This window comes from Homo sapiens, chromosome 3 (genome assembly GCF_000001405.40).
Source record: "Homo sapiens chromosome 3, GRCh38.p14 Primary Assembly".
NCBI lineage: Eukaryota > Metazoa > Chordata > Mammalia > Primates > Hominidae > Homo > Homo sapiens.
Genome location: NC_000003.12, coordinates 39,035,788 through 39,055,259, shown reverse-complemented (window position 1 = coordinate 39,055,259; position 19,472 = coordinate 39,035,788). Strand labels below are relative to the sequence as shown.

The 19,472-nt window shown below is 40.0% G+C and overlaps 2 protein-coding genes across 14 annotated transcripts in view, besides 6 other annotated features; one reads left to right on the top strand and one right to left on the bottom strand.

The window, feature by feature from the left end:
- Positions 1-3,244, bottom strand: part of WDR48 (WD repeat domain 48) — a 44,649-nt gene extending 41,405 nt beyond the window's left edge. For 10 of the 11 annotated variants that reach the window (NR_144401.2, NR_144400.2, NR_144399.2 and 7 more), the window contains exon 1: positions 3,187-3,244. Coding sequence is in view for 4 of the 11 variants with exons in the window: in NM_001346225.2 (NP_001333154.1) it covers positions 3,187-3,234 (48 nt within the window). In the remaining 7 variants the exon portion in view is untranslated. Of the gene's footprint in view, positions 1-2,658; positions 2,969-3,186 lie in introns of those variants that run through there. The other variant, NM_001346228.2, reaches the window with a different exon arrangement.
- Positions 3,041-3,140: a silencer, noted in NCBI's record as "silent region_14216". NCBI's record gives its function as "represses an Ori minimal core promoter by ATAC-STARR-seq in GM12878 lymphoblastoid cells {active_cell/tissue: GM12878}" and the evidence as "EXISTENCE:reporter gene assay evidence [ECO:0000049][PMID:35858748]".
- Positions 3,181-3,370: an enhancer, noted in NCBI's record as "active region_19689". NCBI's record gives its function as "activates an Ori minimal core promoter by ATAC-STARR-seq in GM12878 lymphoblastoid cells {active_cell/tissue: GM12878}" and the evidence as "EXISTENCE:reporter gene assay evidence [ECO:0000049][PMID:35858748]".
- Positions 3,181-4,083: a biological region, named in NCBI's record as "H3K27ac hESC enhancer GRCh37_chr3:39092668-39093540".
- Positions 3,211-4,083: an enhancer, noted in NCBI's record as "H3K27ac hESC enhancer chr3:39092668-39093540 (GRCh37/hg19 assembly coordinates)". NCBI's record gives its function as "activates a minimal SCP1, AML or CMV promoter by ChIP-STARR-seq in naive H9 embryonic stem cells {active_cell/tissue: H9 hESC(naive)}" and the evidence as "EXISTENCE:reporter gene assay evidence [ECO:0000049][PMID:30033119]".
- SCN11A (sodium voltage-gated channel alpha subunit 11) overlaps positions 3,316-19,472 on the top strand; it is a 206,181-nt gene continuing 190,024 nt past the window's right edge. For all 3 annotated transcript variants that reach the window (NR_164473.1, NM_001349253.2, XM_047447378.1), the window contains exon 1: positions 3,316-3,399. The gene's annotated coding sequence lies outside the window, so the exon portion shown is untranslated. The remainder of the gene's footprint in view (positions 3,400-19,472) is intronic.
- Positions 3,391-3,440: an enhancer, noted in NCBI's record as "active region_19688". NCBI's record gives its function as "activates an Ori minimal core promoter by ATAC-STARR-seq in GM12878 lymphoblastoid cells {active_cell/tissue: GM12878}" and the evidence as "EXISTENCE:reporter gene assay evidence [ECO:0000049][PMID:35858748]".
- Positions 3,451-3,540: an enhancer, noted in NCBI's record as "active region_19687". NCBI's record gives its function as "activates an Ori minimal core promoter by ATAC-STARR-seq in GM12878 lymphoblastoid cells {active_cell/tissue: GM12878}" and the evidence as "EXISTENCE:reporter gene assay evidence [ECO:0000049][PMID:35858748]".

Genomic DNA, 19,472 nt, shown 5'->3' with positions numbered 1-19,472 from the left:
CCACCTTGGCCTCCCAAAGTGCTGGGATTACAGGCATGAGCCACCACGCCTGGCCTCCACTGATTATTTAGCAATATTTTTAAGTCTCAAGGGTTTGTCTTGGCCTACAACTTGACAAGGAGCTCAGGGCTACTGTCTCGTGGTCTGAGACAGTCAGGAGACAAAGTATATTTACTCCAAGTACCCATGTATGCTTTTTCCAAGATGAGAAGTTTTCTTTTTGATGTATAAGAGCAAATAATGTGGTAAAAAGTTCAAAAATACAAAGTTGTGCATATTTCAAACTAAAAGATATCCCATGTCCTGTCTTATCTATAATCACACAATCTATTCCCAAAGGGATAATCACTGCTATTACCCTTCCTGACTTTTAAAATGCATATTTCCTTTGTGGAAATGGGAATATGCCATGTTGACTTGCTTTTTTGACTCTCTCTCTCTTTGAGGCCTCCCTGGAAGACGAGCAGATCCTAGCACCATATTTCCTGTAAAGCCTGCAGAACTATGAGCCAATTATGCCTCTTTTCTTTATAAATGAGCCAGTCTCAGGTATTTCTTTATAGCAATTCAAGAATGGCTTCACACAACACCCTTGCATAAGTAGGGACAGATACATGCATATGCAATTTTGTAGAATATATTTTTAGATAAGGAATTCTGGGCTAAAGGGAATGTTTATTTAAAAATTTGACAAAGCAAGACACAAAACAGTGAATACTATGGCTCCATTTATAGCAAAAAAATATGTTAAGTCAGGTACACAAACAGCAAGAGGTATAGAACAGCGGTTCTCAACCAGCGGCAATTTTGCCCTTGAGGGGACATTTGAAAATGTCTGGAGACATTTTTAGTTGTCACAACTGGGGAGATGCTACTACATCTAGTTGGTAGAAGCCAGGGATGATGCCAAAGAACCTGTGATGCATAGGACAGCTCCCTCCCTCAGACACAGCGAAGAATTATCCAGATGAAATTTCAAGAATGTTCAGGTTGATAAACTCTGGTCTAGGATTAAAACATGACATTGCCCGCAGTAGCTTTCTTGGAAGCATGGAGGGCAACTCTAATTTATGTTTTTGTTTGTTGGGATTTTTACAATGAACACGCATTAGTTTAAAAAACACCTCATAGACAATGATGGTTCAGATGAAATCAATCCCTGTGGCTTCTCAGGCTGCTTCTATACCTTAGGGACAAATTCCGAAAGTTCCCTGAATCTTCTCTTCAGCAGGTTAATCTAAGACAGCTCTTTCAAAAGTTCTTCATAGGAAATAATTTCAAGTCAGTTCACCAATCTGATTGCTACCTATGAAGAACAAGGTCCTAAGTGCTGAACACCAAACTCTAATTTTGTACTTTGACCAGTGAAAAGTGGAATTATCTATCACCTGCCTCATTCTACGTGCACTGGCTCACATTCAGCCTATTGGAACACTGTTTTTCCAAACCTGCTGCAGTTAATTTACATTTTCTCCATCCCATACTAGTACAATTGCCTTGTAAGTCTTTTTAAAATATATATACTTTATTGCATGCATTTTGGGAGTGGGCAGGCCTGGGAAGGAAGCAAGCAGGGAACACACTGCAGTAATAGGAGTTTTAAGTCTTAATGCAATAAACTGAAAGGCCTGATTAACTACCCTTACTCTCCTAAGATGTACACCACCATAGAGTCTATAATACAATCGGGTTACTTTTTGAGTTATATTTCAGTCCCAAGGAGACATTCTCACTACCTGCCTTGGATGCTGGTGATACTTAAATCCTATCACTAATGCACTGAAAAACACCTAATAGGGTGAGTTTAGACTTATTAATTTCACTCATTTCAACAAACATCCAGTGAGTGCTTAAGACACTGTACTGATCAGTGAGATCAATAAAACCAAGATGTGAACTAATCAGAAGACTTTATGGCCTACCACCTTCTGCTGGGATTACCTTACTGAAGGACCCCTTCATCTAACTACCTTTATCTGACACTTGATTTCAACCCGCAGAACTCCATATAATGCTGTGTTTTATAAAGAAAGCCTAGGTGTTAATTATTTCTACACCCTTTCAATCCCTTTTCCCCTTTGGGGGCCACCCTAAGTGCTAGGTAAATGTTTAATGAATAAATGCACCAAACTGCCACTACCACATACAATATACCTGCAGGCAAACACCTGTAAGAGGGCTTTTATTCCCTGCATCACTGAAAATATTAAGTGGCAATAACTATTTTTTAATATTATTATTATACTTTAAGTTCTAGGATATATGTGCACAACGTGCAGGTTTGTTACATAGGTATACGTGTGCCATGCTGGTTTGCTGTACCCATCAACTCGTCATTTACATTAGGTATTTCTCCTAATGCTATCCCTCCCCTAGCGCCCCCAGCCCCCGACAGGCCCCGGTGTGTGATGTTCCCCGAAGTGGCAGTAACTCTTAAGCGTAACCGCAAACAAAAGTGAATTCACAAAGGCATAAGGCACAAGACACACACGGTAAGATTAGACAACTCTTTACCACATGGACAATAAATTACACAAACAATAAAGACAGATTCAGCGATGCACACTTAAGATGAAGAAATGGTGAAGAGGAACTTAAATACCAAAACAATTAAAATTATAATTTCCCCACGCACATTCTTATGTCACTTAAACCTACCCAGGGGACAGCTCCCACATAAGAGAGGGCTGGGGGCTCCCAAGTGCGGAATCCTCAGCAGAAACCCCGCAGGGCCGTTGGCGCTCCGCCGCCTCGCCACGCCCCCGCACAAGCCGCTCACTCCTCCAACGCCCACCCCCCTGGGAAACCCCTGGAGGCCTCGGCTCCGACGCAGCGAGGGCAGAGCGCTTCGAAGAAAGACAGGGCAAGGGGGAGGCAAGTGGGCGGGGAACGAGCCTATCCCGACCCCGCAAGTCCACTCCTACAGAAGAGCGGCGACAAGCAATCCCGGGCTCAGAATGCCGCCCACGAGGGTCCCGGGCCTGGGCCCCAAGGGCCAAGCAAGCCGACCCCCGCCCCTTCCTCAAGCCGTTAGCGCCGCGGCCCCACCCCTCGTGGCCGGCCGCGCCCCGCCCCGTTCGCCCCATGCCGCTACCCCAGCTGGTCGTGGCGCCGGGCACCTTCTAGCTGGAGTGGGCCCGGAGCTGCCGGCCGCGTCCGGAAGACCGAGGAACCGGGCTTCCATACCTGCACTTTCCTCCGCCCTGCTGTGTTCTGCCGGTGATGGGCCGCCATCTTGCATGTTGACACTCCGACGTCACTTCCGGAGGTGGCTCAGAGCGGGAGGATGTCCTGCCCCTTTCCCTTTGGCCAAGGGTTAGTGGCGGGGCTGAAGGTAAACAGGCTGTTGTGTTTCCTCGGTGCTGTTAGTTGCTGTGTGGCCGGTAGCCATGTGATGAGGTAGATGCACCTAAAAACAAAACCACTGTGCAAGTATAATGCTGATGGGGAGAGAGCCACTTTTCAGGGCTGAGGGAGCAACACGAATTCACTTGTGTGGTCCTAGACCCTGGCTTGCGCTCTTTTCCGCGCCCTCCCCGAGAGGCCCAAGCAAAACGAAAGCACTGAAAGAATTAACAGTGCTAGACATGGCGCTGGACCATCTCCTGACCTTTCCTAGGCAGGCAGGAGAACCAAGTGAACCAAGTGATTTACTGTTAAGTACCTAAAAATGCGGAGAATTATGTCGTGGCCTCAAAGGGGGAGAGATAGAAGTCCTTGCAAAGGAGGTGGCCTCCATCTTCAGGGGGAGCAAAGAATCCGTTTAAATTAAAAGGATAAAAAGTGGGGCCATAAAAGAACGAGATCATGTCCTTTGTAGGGACATGATGGAGCTGGAGGCCCTTATCCTTAAGCAAACTAACAAAGGAACAGAAAACCAAATACCGCACGTTCTCACTTATAAGTGGGAGCTAAATGATGAGAACACATGGACACAAAAGAGGGGGACAACACACACTGGGGCCTTTCGGAGGGTGGAGGGTGGGAGGAGGGCGAGGATCAGGAAAAATAACTAATGGGTACTAGGCTTAATACCTGGGTGACAAAATAGCCTGTACAACAAACACCCGTGACACAAGTTTACCTATATAACAAACCTGCACTTGTACCCCTGAACTTAAAAGTTTAAAAAAAAAAAACAAGACAAAAAGATGTTATAGGAAGGCGAAAACGGTACACCAGCTAAAATTGTTCCCAGAGACAATTCTAGTTTAAATCATCTCTTATACTGGAACAGTTAGGTTTGACTTAAGGTGGTTTTCCTGACCACTAATTATAAGAGCTGAGGGTGATCAGACCCTCTCTAGTGAAAGTGAATCCTATAGAACTACACTGTGGGATATAGCATATGATGTATCTGCTAGTCATTTGTGGCTCTTGAGCACTTGAAATATAGCTAGTTCCAGTTGAGATATGTAATTGTAAACTACCCCCAAATTTCAAAGACTAGTTTGAAGAAAAGAATGTAAAATATCTCATTAATAATTTTTTGTATTGATTTCATGTTGAAATGATGTTTGGGGGTATATTAGGCTAAATAAAATTTATTAATTTTGTCATGGATATTAGAATATTTAAAATTACATATGTGGTCACAAATTTCTGTTGCATAGTGCTAGTATATAAGTAATGCTTAGAAAAGTTGTCTTGACAAATACTTCTTAAATTAATAAAGAAATGTGAATTAGATGAGTAAAAATTGTGATGGCAGAAAGCTTCTTAAGCAAAACTGGCAGTGATAACTTATAGGTAAATTACTGCATCATTACAGGCTTATTCATTCACTGATTCATGTATTCATTCATTTAACAAAATATTATTTAGCATATCATATATGCCAGGCACTATATTAGGTGTTGGGGAATCAGTGGTGAGTGCACATAGTCATAGAACTTAGAGTCCCAGGATGAGACAGGAATTAATACAGAGATAAGTACTATGAAGAAAGATGATTGTAAGACAGGAAGTATCTTGAGTCAAGAGTTAACTAGGCAAGGAGAGGGAACAGTCTGAGCAAAGGTCTTGTAGCAGGAGAGAGCATGGAACATTACAGGAACTGAGAGTCAAGGCTTAGAGTACAGAGAAGTGAAAGGAGTATGCAGAGGCCATACCCAGCAGGATCTTTTAGACCAATGGGAAGCTGTTGAAATACAGGTAGGGAAATAATATGTCTGTATTTTAAAAATTGCTTAAGTGTCTATTGAGCACCTATGATGTGCAAAATACAATACAGGTATGTTGCTCTGGACAATATACTGGTACTTGCTAGAAATTGATATGTTGTAGTCCTGCTTTGGACCTGAAAAATATTGAAATAGTGAAGTTCTTTCAGTGGGCAGAATTTTCACCAGTATGTTTTGATGTTCAGTTTGGCTGAAAGGAGAAATGGTCAATTCAGGGTCAGAGGATAATTTTTTGGCCAGTTTGTGAAGGACATGGAAAGAGCAAGACTGGAGAACTAGTGACAAGGAAGACTCCAGAAGGGATATAGTGATGGACCTCTCAGAATAAATCTTAAGAATCATATGGATGAAATGAACTGCTTTGTGATGAAACTCAGCCTCACTGCCTGCTCAGTAGAATCATGAAATAAATGGCAATGGCAATGGCAACAGGATTGGAGCTATGCATGGGATCACCAAGCCACCGCTGGGTGTTCAGAAGCAGTGACCAATACCCCATGCTCTGGGAGGGTCAGCCAGTCACATGTAGGCAAGTCTATTCCATTGGTCATTGGCCCTCCCCATCATTGAGGGAGTTCTTATTTGTCCTCTCTAAAATATGTTTATTCTAGATTGAGATTTGCTTTCCCTGCTCACTGTACTTCCGCTGACACCACCATCTAGGGAATTACTCAGTGCTTTAGACACTATCATTTTCTCTAACACTATATTGCTTTTGACCAAGAAATTCACTCTGCAATGAAAGAAGTAATGCAATGGGCTATTGCCCATGGAATTTATTGGTCTAATTGTGTACTCAATCACTGAGAAGTATCTTGTCTTATTGAAGATATATTGAAGACTTAGCTATGGTGCCTTCTGGGAGATAACCCTTTTTGATACTGTCCTGTAGGATGCAGTATATGCTCTGAACTACTGTCCAATATTCAGCACTCTTTTTTCCTGTTCCTTTTATCTATTGCTGTTTAACCATCTGCAAAATGCAATGGTTTAAAACAATTACAACCCTTACTTTACTTACAAATCTGTAATTTATGCAGAGCTTCATGGGAACAGATTGTCTCTGTTCCACTATCCACTTCACATCAGCTGGGGCAGCTAAAAGATTGGGGCTGGAATCATCTGAAGACCCCTTCTCTCACATGTCTGGTGACTGATACTGGTGTTGGCCTAGTCCTTAGCCAAAGCTGTGGCTAGAACACCTTCTCATGATCTTTCCACAGCACTATTTGGTTCCTCACAATATGCTAACTGGGTTCCAAGGATGAGCATCCCGAAGAAGAAAAATCTGGTTGAAAGCTATAATGCTTTTTCTAAACTCACAGTGGAAGTCATGCAGTGTCACTTTAAGCCATAGTCAATTCATTAGAACTTAGTTACTAAGGCCATCAGTGTCTAAGGAGAGGGGATTAGATGACTCCTTTTTTTATGAAGTATCAATAAATTTGTGGATGTATTTTTTAATTGACACATAATAATTGTACATATATATGGGGTACAGTGTGATATTTTGATACCTGTATACAATCTGTAATAATTGCTTTGGGAAAATTCAATATCCACTCTTTTAGCTATTTGAAAATATGGAATAAATTATTGTTAATCATAGTCATCCTACAGTGATATAGAACACCAAAAATTATTCCTTCTACCTAGCTGTAATTTTATATGTGTTAACCAACCTCTCTATATATAATCCTCTCCTTTACCCTTCTCAGCCACTAGTTACCACTATTCTGTTCTCTACTTCTCTGAGATCAACTTATTTCTCTTTCACATATTGGTGAGAACATGCAGTATTTATCTTTCTGTGCCTGGCTTATTTCACTTAAGATAATGACCTCCGGTGCTATCCATGTTGCTGCAAATGACATAATTTTATTCTTTTTTATGATTGAATAGTATTTCATTGCATATATGTACCACATTTTCTTTATCCATTCTTCTTTTGATGGACACTTAGGTTAACTCCGTATCTTGGCCACTGTGAATAGTGCTGCAGTAACTGTGGGAGGACAGGTATCTCTTTGACATACTGATTTCCTGTTCTTTGGGTAGTAGTGGGATTGCTGGATCATATGGTAGTTGTAGTTTTAGTTCTTTGAGAAATCTACACACTGTTTTCCATAATGGTTGAACTAATTTACATTCCTATCAACAGTGTATGAATTCCCTTTTCTCTGCATCCTCACCCTCTGCATTTGTTTTTGTCTTTTTCGTATAGCGATTCTAACTGGAGTGAGATAATATCTCACTGTGGTTTTGATTTGTATTTCCCTGATGATTAGTGATGTTGAGCATTTTTTTCATGTATTTGTTGGCTATTTATATGTCTTCTTTTGAAAAATGTGTATTCAGATCATTTGCCCATTTAAAAATTATTTGGGTTTTTTTTGCTATTGAGTTGTTTGAGTTTTTTATACTTCCTGGATATTAATTCCTTGTTGGATGAATACTTTGCAAATATTTTCTCTCATTCTGTAGGCTGTCTCATTCCTCTATTGATTGTTTCCTTTTCTGTGCAGAAGCTTTTTAGTTTGATGTAATCCAATTTGTCTATATTTGGTTTTGTTGCCTGTGCTTTTGAGGGCTTATCCATAAAATCTTTGCCCAGGCCAATGTCCTGAAGCATTTCTCCTGTATTATCTTTTAGTAGTTTCATAGTTTTGGGTTTTATATTTAGGTTTTTAATCCATTTCGTGTTGATTTTTGTATAGGGTGAGACGTAGGGAGTCTAGTTTCTTTCCTTTTCATATAGGGGGTCAGTTTTCCCAGCACCATTTATTGAACAGGCTGTTCTTTTCCCAATATGTTATAGGGCCTTTGTTAAAAATCAGTTAATTGCCAGGCATGGTGGTACATGCCTGTAGTCCCAGCTACTTGGAAGGCTGATATATGAGGATTGCTTAAGCCCAGGAGTTTGAGGCCTGCAGTATACTACAATTGTGAATAGTCACTGCACTCCAGCCTGGGAAACATAGCAAGACCCAGTCTTAAAAAAAAAAAAGGGGGTGGGGGTGGGGGTGGGGGGATGGGGGTGGGGGTGGGGGGTGGGGGGCTGTGTGCAATGGCTCACACCTATAATCCCAGCACTCTGGGAGGCTGAGGTGTGTGGATCGCTTGAGCCCAGGAATTCAAGACCAAACAGGGCAACGTGGCAAAACCAGTCTTTATCAAAAAATACAAAAATTAACCGGGCATGGTGGTGCATGCCTGTAGTCCTAGCTACTCAAGAGGCTAAAGTGGGAGGATTGCTTGAGCCTAGGAGGTTGAGGCTGCAGTGAGCAGAGATCACATCATTGCACTTCAGTCTGGGTGACAGAGCAAGACCCTGTTTCAAAAAAACCATTAGTTGGCTATAAATACATGGATTTATTTCTGGGTTCTCTATTCTGTTCCATTGGTTGATGTGTCTTTTTTAATGCCAGTACTATGCTGTTTTGTTTAGTGTAGCTTTGTATGGTATATTTTGAGGTTAGTGTGATGCCTCCAATTTTGTTCTTTTTGCTCAGGATTGCTTTGGCTATTTGGGGTCGTTTGTAGTTCCATATGAATTTTAGGATTATTTTTTCTATTTCTATGAAGAATGTCATTGGTATTTTGATAGGGATTCCATTTAATCTGTAGATCACTTTGGGTAGTTTGGTCATTTTAACAATATTAATTCAGTATATGAACATGGATGTCTTTCCATTTTTGTGTATGTCCTCTTCAATTTATTTCATCAGAGTTTTATAATTTCCTTCATTCCCTCCCTCCCTCCCTCCCTCCCTTCCTCCCTCCCTTCCTTCCTTCCTTGCTTCTGTCCTTTCTTTTTGAGACAGAGTCTCACTCTGTTGCCCAGGCTGGAGTGCAGTGGCCTGATCTCGGCTCACTGCAACCTCCACCTCCCAGATTCAAGTGATTCTCATGCCCCAGCTTCCTGAGTAGCTGAGATTACAGGCCCGTGCCACCACGCCCAGCTAATTTTTGTATTTTTAGTACAGACAGGGTTTTGCCCTGTTGGCCAGGCTGATCTTGAACTCTTGGCCTCAAGTGTTCCTCCTGCTTAGGCCCCCCAAAGTGTTGGGATTACAGGAGTGAGACACTGTGCCTGGCCGCTACTGTTTTGTATATTGATTTTATATCCTACAACTTTATGAATTTCTTTATCAGTTCTGAGAATTTTTTGATGAAGTCTTTAAGTTTTCTATATATAAGATCATATCATCTGCAAACAGTGACAATTTGACACTTCCTTTCCAGCTTAGATGCCCTTTATTCTTTAATCTTGCCTAAATGCTCTAGCTAGCATTCTCCATACTATGTTGAATAAGAGTGGTGAAAGTGGGTATCTTTGTCTTGTTCCAGTTTTTAGAGGAAGAGTTTTCAATTTTCTCCTGTTTAAGATGATACTAGCTGTGGGTTTGTCATATATGGCCTTTATTGTGTTGAGGTATGTTCTTTTTATACTTCCTTTGTTGAGAGTTTTTATCATGAAAGGATGTTGAATTTTATCGAATGCCTTTTCTGCATTGATTAAGATGATCGTTTGGTTTTTGTCCTTGATTCTGCTGATGTGATGTATCTTTTGTTTATTGATTTGCATATGTTGAATCATCCTTGCATCCCTGAAATAAATCTACTTGATCATCATGTGTAATCCTTTTGATGTGTTGTTGGATCTGGTTTGCTAATATTTTGTTGAGAATTTTTATATCTATGTTCATCAGGGATATTGACCTGTAGCTTTCTTTTTTTGTTGTGTTTTTGCCTGGTTTTGGCATTAGGGTAGTGTTGGGGTTGTAGAATGAGTTTGGAAGAATTCCCTCCCCTTCAATTTTTTGGAATAATTTGAGAGGAATTGGTGTTAGTTATTTAAATGCCTGGTGCAACTCAGCATTGAAGCCATGGTCCTAGGCTTTTCTTTGTTGGGAGACTTTTTATTTCTCCCACAATCTCATTACTTGTTATTGATTTGTTCAGGTTTTCTATTTCTTCCCGATCCAATTTTGGTAGGTTGCGTGTGTCCAGGAATTCATTTCCTCTAGGCTTTTCATCTTGTTGGCATATAGTTGTTCATAATAGTCTCTAATGATCTTTTGTATTCCTGTGGTAACAGTTGTTTTTTTTCATTTCTGATTTTATTTATTTGGGTTGTTGCTCTCTTTTTTTAAAATTACTCTAGCTAGTGGTTTGTGGATATTATCTTTTCAAAAAACTTTTTGTTTTGTTGATTTGTATTTTTTGTCTCGATTTCATTATTTCTGCTCTAATCTTTATTATTTCTTTCCTTATGCTAATTTTGAGTTTCGTTGGTTCTTGTTTTTGTAGTTCCTTGACGTGCATCATTAGTTTGTTTATTTGTAATCTTTCTGCTTTTTTTGATGTAGGCATTTATTGTTATAAACATTCCTCTTAGTAATGCTTTTGATGTGTCCCATTGGTTTTGGTATGTTGTGTTTCTGTTTTCATTTGTTTCAATTAATTTTTAAATGTCCTTCTTAATTTCTTCATTGACATATTTATCATTCAGGAGCATGTTATTTAATTTATATGTATTTGCACAGTTTCGAAGTTTCTGTTATTATTGATTTCTAGTTTTATTTCATTGTAGTCAGAAAAGATACTTGATATGGTTTTGATTTTAAAAAATGTGTTGAGACTTGTTTTGAGGGCTAACATATGGTCTATCTTGGAGGATGTTCTATAAGCTGATGAAAAGAATGTGTATTCTGCAGCTGTTAGAAAAAATGTTCTGTAAATGTCTGTTAGGTCCATTTGGTCTATATTGCCGTTTAAATCTGATGTTTCTTGGTTGATTTTCTGTCTACATTATCTGGTCAAAGGTATTGAAATCCCCAACTTAATTGTATTGGAGTCTGTCTTCCCTTTAGATCTAATGATATTTGCTTTATATATCTGGGTGTATATATATTTAAAATTGTTACACCCTTTTACTGAATTGATCCCTTTATTATTATATAATGACATTCTTTTTCTCTTTTTACAGTCTTTGACTTAAAGTAAAAAACTCTTGCTTGTTTTTGGTTTCTGTTTGCGTTTACATTTGGCATTTAAAAAATTATTTTTATCTTTAACTTTCGTGGGTACATAGTAGGTGTATTCATTTATGGGATATATGAGATCTTTTGGGACAGGCAGGCAATGCATGGTAATCACATCATGGAAAATTGGGTATCCATCTCCTCAAGCATTTATCCTTCTTTTTTTGCATTTATCCTTTTTATTACAAGCAATGTAATTATACTTTTTAAATTATTTTTAAATGTACAATTAAAGTATTATTGACTGTAGTCCCCCTGTTGTGCTATGAAATACTGTCTTATTTATTCTTTCTAATTTTTTTTGTACTCATCAGCCATCTCCACCTCCCCACCACCCACCCCCAACTACCCTTCCCAGTTTCTGGTAACCATTCTTCTATTCTCTGTATCCATGAGTTCAGTTGCTTTGATTTTTAGATCCCACAAATAAGTGGGAACATGTGATGTTTGCTTTCTGTGCCTGGCTTATTTCGCTTAATATAATGACCTCCAGTTCCACCTATGTTGTTGCAAATGACAGGATTCTGGGTTTTTTTTTTTTTTTTTGGCTGTATAGTACTTCATTGTGTATAAGTATCACATTTTCTTTATCCATTCATCTGTTGATGGACACTTAGGTTGCTTCCAAATCTTGGCTATTGTGAACAGCGCTGCAACAAACATGGGAGTGCAAATGTCTCTTTGATATACTGATTTCATTTCTTTTGGGTGTATACCCAGCAATGGGATTGCTGGATCGTATGGTAGCCCTATTTTTAGTTTTTTGAGACTGCTAAATGATTCTTCATAATGGTTGTACAAATGTGCCTTCTTACCAACAGTATACGAGGGTTCTCCTTTCTCCACATCCTCGCCAACATTTGTTATTGTCTGACTTTTGGATAAAAGCCATTTTAACTGGGGTGAGATAATATCTCATTGTAGTTTTGATTTGCATTTCTCTGATAATTAATGATGTTGAGCACTTTTTCACATGCCTGTTTGCCATTTGTACGTCTTGTTTTGAGAAATGTCTAGTCAGATCTTTTGCTCATTTCTTTTTTCTTTTTCTTTTTTTTTTTTTTTTTTTTTTGAGATGGAGTTTCGCTCTTGTTGCCCAGGCTAGAGTGCAATGGCATGATCTCGGCTCACTGCGAACTCTGCCTTCTGGGTTCAAGTGATTCTCCTGCCTCAGCCTCCCGAGTAGTTGGGATTACAGGTATGCGCCACCAAGCCTGAATAATTTTGTATTTTTAGTAGAGACAGGGTTTCTCCATGTTGGCCAGGCTGGTGTCGAACTCCTGACTTCAGGTGATCCTCCTGTCTCGGCCTCCCAAAGTGCTGGGATTACAGGCGTGAGCCACTGCACCTGGACCTTTTGCTCATTTCTTGATCAGATTATTAGATTTTTTTTCCCTATAGAAGTGTTTAAGCTCCTTATATGTTCTGGTTATTAACTTCTTATTAGGTGGATAGTTTGCTAATATTTTCTCCCATTCTGTGTGTTGTCTCTTCACCTTGATGATTTTTTCCTTTGCTGTGCGGAATCTTGATGTGATCCCATTTGTTCATTTTTGCTTTGGTTGCTTGTGCTTGTGAGGTATTACTCAAGAAATTTTTGCCCAGATTAATGTCCTGGAGTGTTTTCCCAATGTTTTTCTTGTAGAAATTTCATTGGGATTTCTTTTTTATATTTTTTCACTTTCAGTCTATGTGTGTCTTTACAAGTGAAGTGAGTTTCTTATAGGCAGAATAGGCTCTTGGTTTGTTTGGGTTTTTTTGGAGATGGAGTCTTGCTCTGTCTCTCAGGCTGGAGTGCAGTGGCACAATCTTGGCTCACTGCAGCCTCTACCTGCTGGGTTCAAGCGATATTCCTGCCTTGGCCTCCTGAGTACCTGGGACTACAGGCGCCTACCACCACGCCCAGATAATTTTTATATTTTTGGTGGGGACAGGGTTTCACCATGTTGGCCAGGCTTGTCTCAAACTCCTGACTTTAAGTGATCCTCCTGCCTCAGCCTCCCAAAGTGCTGGGATTACAGGCATGAGCCACTGTGCCGGCCTGGGTCTTGTTTTTTTAATCCATTCAGCCAGTCTATATTGTTTAATTGGGAAATTTAATCCATTTACATTCAAGGTTATTATTGAAATATGATATTTTTTCTGTCATATTGTTAATTGTTTTCTAGTTGTTTTGAAATTCTTTGTTCTTTTCTTTCTCTAATTTATCTTTGCAGTGATAAAGTTTATTTTTCTTTCTCATTTGTGTATCTTTTCAATCAGTTAGTTTTGTACTTTTGTGTTTTCATGATGGTGGTTATCATCCTTTTGCTTCCAGATGTAGGACTCCCTTAAGTATTTCTTGTAAGGATGGTCTAGGGTGATGAATTTCCTCAGTTTTAGTTTGGGGAAAATTTTATTTCTTCCTCATTTCTGAAGGGCAGTTTTATTGGGTTTGATATTCTTGCTTGGCAGTTTTTTTCTTACAGCACTTTGAATATATCATCCCATTCTCTCCCGGCCTGTAAGGTTTCTGCTGAGAAAAATGCTGTTAGTCTAATGGGGATTTTCATATATGTGACTTGACATTTTTTTCTTGCTGTTTTAAAAATTCTCTCTTTGTCTTTGACTTTTGACAATTTGATTATAATGTGCTTCAGAGAGGACTTTTTTGGGTTGACTATATTTGAAGATTTTTTAGCTTCCTGGATGTCAATGTCCATATGTCTCCAAAGTCTTAGAAGGGTTTCAGTGATTATTTCATCAAATAGGTTTTCTATTCCTTTTTCATCTCATTTCCTTCTTAAACATTCAGAATGTGAATATTTGTTTGCTTAATGATGTCCTGTAAGTACTGTAGGCTTTCTTTATTCTTTTTGAATTCTTTTTTCTTTTTTTAGTCTGACTGGGTTATTTCAAAAGACCTGTCTCCAAGTTCAGAAATTATTTTCCTTTTGTTTTTCTTTTTTGAGACAGAGTCTTGCTCTTTCGCCCAGGCCGGAGTGCAGTGGCGCTATCTCAGCTCACTGCAAGCTTCTCCTCCCGGGTTCACACCATTCTCCTGCCTCAGCCTCCCGAGTAGCTGGGACTACAGGCACCCGCCACCATGCCTGGCTAATTTTTTTTTTGTATTTTTAGTAGAGATGGGGTTTCACCGTGTTAGTCAGGATGGTCTCGATCTCCTGACCTCATGATCCGCCCACCTCGGCCTCCCAAAGTGCTGGGATTACAGGCGTGAGCCACCATGCCCGGCCTTCAGAAATTATTTTCTTCTTGATCTAGTCTGTTATTGAAGCTCTCTATTGTATTTTTTATTTCATTAGCAGAATCTTTTAGCTTCAAGATTTCTGTTTGGTTCTTTTAAAAAAATAATATATGTTTCTTTGTTGAATTTCTCATTCAGAGCATTAATGTTTTCCTGATTTCATTTGTATGTCTGTATTTATCCTGTATCTTGCTGAGGTTCCTTAGGCTCATTAGTTTCAATTCCTTTTTAGGCATCTGATAGCTTTCATTTTGGGGAATGTGTTACTGGAGAATTATTGTGTTCCTTTGGCAGTGTCGTGTTTCCTTGTTTTCTTATGTTTCTTGTGTTCCTATGTTGATTTCTGTGCATCTGGTAAAATAGTCACCTCTTCCAATTTCATGGAGTAGCTTTCATTGGGAAAGACTTTTTTCCTGTAGTTGTGACCTGTAGTGTTGATTGCATAAGGTGCTTTGGCTTTGGTTCTGAGTGGGTGCAGTAGTATAATCTCCACACTCGATCTTAGACAAAAGGCTGAGAAGCAATAACAGTTATGTAGTCTCTGTGTGATTTTTAACAGCATGAGCAGTATTTGAGTGCCACAGTGGCATAGACTGTTGACATTTATGGAGGCTATAGTGTAGTTTTGCTGGTGGTAAGTGTCCATTGGTGGCCAGTTCTTGGATTATGGGAGGGTGCTTGCCTGGAACAACAGCTTTACTGATTATAGGATGCCATTGCCAGCTGTGGTGGGCACCAGGTGGGCACCAGCCCTGAGGAACACAGCACGTGATGTCTCTACCTCTAGAGGGGGTGGGGTTAGCAGAGGTGGTGTGTGCTAGGTAGACCAGTCCTCAGCCCTTGGCGGACATGTACACATGCTATATCTCCATCACTGGATGGGGCAGGGTTGCTGGCAGCAGTGGGTGCTAAGTGGGCAGGTCCTTGGTCCCTGGGAACTGTTTCAGGTACATGGTAGCTCTGCCACTGGAGGGGGCAGGGTCTCCAGTGGTGACAGCCTCTAGGTGGGCTGATCTTTGGTCTCTAGGGGTGCCCATGCATAAGGCAGCCTCATCACTGGAGGGGATAGGGTTGCTGGCAGCGGTGGGTACCAGGTGGCTGGCCAGGCACATTGGCTTCCTCACTCCTGAGGGTGACCTCCTTACTGTGCTGGACTACCTGCTTCCTGGAGCACAGAGTGCTATGTGGGCTTTAGTGCTAGAGTCATGGCTCTACTGCTAGGTCTGGCTGGGATACTGGCACTCAGTCTTCTGTATGGGCATGGTGGAATGACCGCAGGGCCCCAGGGATATTGGAGACATAGGGCCATTGGATCCTGGGGCAGGATGTACTTCAGCAGTGGCTTCTTTCCCAAAATGGTACCATGCCGTGACAGCTTAGGTCCCAGGGAGTCTGCAGGAGAGGGTTCATTGTGTGTTTGTGGATGTATTTTAAAACCATCACACTGCCATAGGCAAAATAAATAGATTCAGAAACAAAGGGATATTATACCTAATGACCCACTTAAAACAATTTTTTAGACTTCCATTCTCTGAAATTCTGGGCTTCGGTGGTTTTAGAGGTTTGTTTCTAAAGAAAGGAGTTCCTCCAGCAAGGGCTAAACAATGATTTCTTTGATTTGGAGCTGAGACTGCCATCTGACCATTTTCCATGTCATCTATCATTGGATAAGCAAGAGAAGAAGAAGGTGAAAGAGAGGAAGAAGGTTATGGTATTGATTGATGTTATTAAACTTATCATCAAGCAAAAAAAATAGTTCTGCTGGTATATCTTTAAACAGATAGATCTACCAAATGCTTGGATCCCTTAGAAATGAAGGTATTGGCTGAAAGTAAAAGGAACATGGAATCGCTAGTAGAGAAAGGAAGTCATAAATGGAGGGAAGGCCTTATGATCAGGGGAAGAAATGAGAGTTGTCATCTTGTTTATGTATTTTTTAATGTTTCATGTATTCTTTTATGTGTTTTCACTTTTCTTTAGCCTTTATACTTCACTATTGTATGTAGGGTGTGATACTGTTGTAAACTTCATTATTTAGTCCATAAGTATCAGAATGTGGATACGAAATCAGTACAGAACTTGAAGAAGAATGGCCACCAACTAGACTTGGTGATGGATGGTTCTAGACTTGGAATTGGGTTGATGGATGTGGTAACTGATGACACATTGGATTGACTTCCTTGGAGAGTGACAGTGTGAGTGCATCTTTGATTGTATAAAGGAAAATTGCAATATTTTAAGTGGCAACACTTTTTTGAAATGTAAACATTGGAAGCAATGGTTATATTGGTGTTGGGCAACCAAAGGGATGACTTTGTGTTTGACATTTTTGTGGTTTTATTTTCTGCTGTTTATCATCTGAGCCCTCTTTCTATGTGTGTGGAATTCCTCACTGTATGTGTCTTGGTTGTGGTGAGCAATACTCCCACTATAGAAAATGAGGATAGTTACTCACTTCTATAGTTAAAGTATGTTCATGTAACCTCAGCTTGACTAATCAGATAACATCTTGACTGCAACCTCATGAAACTCTGAGCTACAACCAACCACCTAAACTGCTCCTGAATTCCTGAACTACAGAAACTGTGTGAAACAATAAATGTTTATTATTGTTTTAAGTGGCTAAGTTGTGGGATAATTTGCATTGCAACAAAAGATAACTAATACACCTTCTCTTCCTCATGGGGAGTGGAAATGTCACAGCGCCTTCACAGCTCTCACAAAGATATTCTTACCATCACCCTCTTCAATCTACCATTTAATTCTTTGCCTTCTCTTACAAAATTGCTAGGAGGCTTGTCCTGGCAGAATTCCTTTAACAATCTTTTTAGCATTTTCTTTATGAAAAGATTGGTTTCGTTATTCAAAATGTAAGAAGCCTTGACACCTATTACATTGTTTTCAGCTTTTAAGACTTCTGCCAAAACTCCTAGATAATATGAAAGGTTTAACATCCTTCTTTATTTTCGGCTCCCATTCTCATTTCTATCCCCCATTATAAGTACAGTCATCCCTCAATATCTATGGGGGATTTGTTCCAGGACCTCCTCTGATACCAAAATCCAAGTATACTCTAGTCTCTGATATAAAATGGGATAGTGTTTGCATATAACCTAAGCACATCCTCCTGTACAGTTTAATTTTTTTTATTTTTAATTTTATAGGTATATAGTAGATGTATATATATTTATGAGGTACATGAGATACTTTGATAGAGGCATACAATGTGCAATAATCACATCAGGGTATATGGCGTATCTATTACCTGAAACATTCATATTTCTTTGCGTTACAAACATTCCAATTGTACTCCCTTAGTTATTCTAAAACATACAACAAATTATAAATGACTGTAGTCACCTTCTTGTGCTATCAAATACTAGGTTTTATTCATTCTATCTAACTATATTTTTGTACCCATTAATGATACCCACTTCCCTGACCCCCACCACTACCCTTCACAGCTTTTAGTAACCATCATTTTACTCTATCTCCATGAGTTCAATTGTTTTAATTTTTACTTCCTACAAATTAGTAATAACATGCAAAGTTTGTTTTTCTATGCCTGGCTTATTTCACTTAACATAACGTCCTCCAGTTCCATCCACGTTGTTGCAAATGACACGATCTCATTCCTTTTTGTAGCTGAATAGTACTCTATCGTATACACGTGCCACATTTTCTTTATCCACTTGTCTGTTGATGAACACTTAGGTTGATTCCAAATCTTGGCTATTATGAGTAGAGCTGCAATAAACATGAGAGTGCAGATATCTCTTCAATATACTGATTTCCTTTCTTTTGGCTATATACCTAGCAGTGGGATTGCTGGATCGTATAGTAGTTCTATTTTCAGTTTCTTGAGGGAACTTCTATACTGTTCTCCAGAGTGGCTGTACTAATTTACATTCCCACTAACAGTATATGAGGGTTCCCTTTTCTCCACTAGCATTTGTTATTGCCTGTCTTTTGGATAAAAGCCATTTTAACTGGGGTGAGATAATATAGTTTTGATCTGCATTTCTTTGATGATCAGTGATGTTGGGCACCTTTTCATTCGTATGTCTTCTTTTGAGAAATATCTATTCAGATCTTTTGCCCATTTTTAATTGGATTATTAGATTTTTTCTTACAGAGTTGTTTGTGTTCCTTATATATTCTGGTTATTAACCACTTGTCAGATGGATAGTTTGCAAATATTTTTTCCCGTTCTATGTATTCTCTCTTCACTTTGTTGATTATTTCCTTTGCTGTGCAGAAGCTTTTTAGCTTGACGTGATCCCACTTATCCATTTTCTTTGATTGTCTGTGCTTTTGGGATATTACTCAAGAAATCTGCTTGGCCAGGTGTGGTGGCTCTTGCCTGTAATCTCAGCACTTTAGGAGGCCGAGGCGGGTAGATCACTTGAGGCCAGGAGTTTGAGATCAGCCTGGCCAACATGGCAAAATCCCGTCTCTACTAAAAATACATAAATTAGCCAGATGTGGTGGGGCATGGCTATAATCCCAGCTACTTGGGAGGCCTGAGGCGTGAGAATCTCTTGAACCTGGGAGGCGGAGGTTGCAGTGAGCTGATATTGTGCCATTGCACTCCAGCCTGGGCTACGGAGTGAGACTCTGTCTCTAAAAAAAAATAAAAAGAAATCTGCTGAGTGCAGAAAGCTGACGCAGGAGGATTGCTTAAGTCCAGGAGTTCTGGGCTATAACGCACTATGCCAATCAAGTTTCTGCACTAAATTTGGCATCAATGTGGTGACCTCCCAGGAGCAGGGGACCAGACCACCTGGTTGCCTAAGGAGGATTGGACTAGCCCAAGTCAGAAATGTAGCAAGTCAAAACTTCAATGTTGCCAGGCACAGTGGCTCACGCCTGTAATCCCAGCACTTTGGAAGGCCAAGGCGGGTGGATCACAAGGTCAGGAGATTGAGACCATCCTGGCTAACATGGTGAAACCCTGTCTCTACTAAAAATACAAAAAATTAGCCAGGCGTGGTGGCG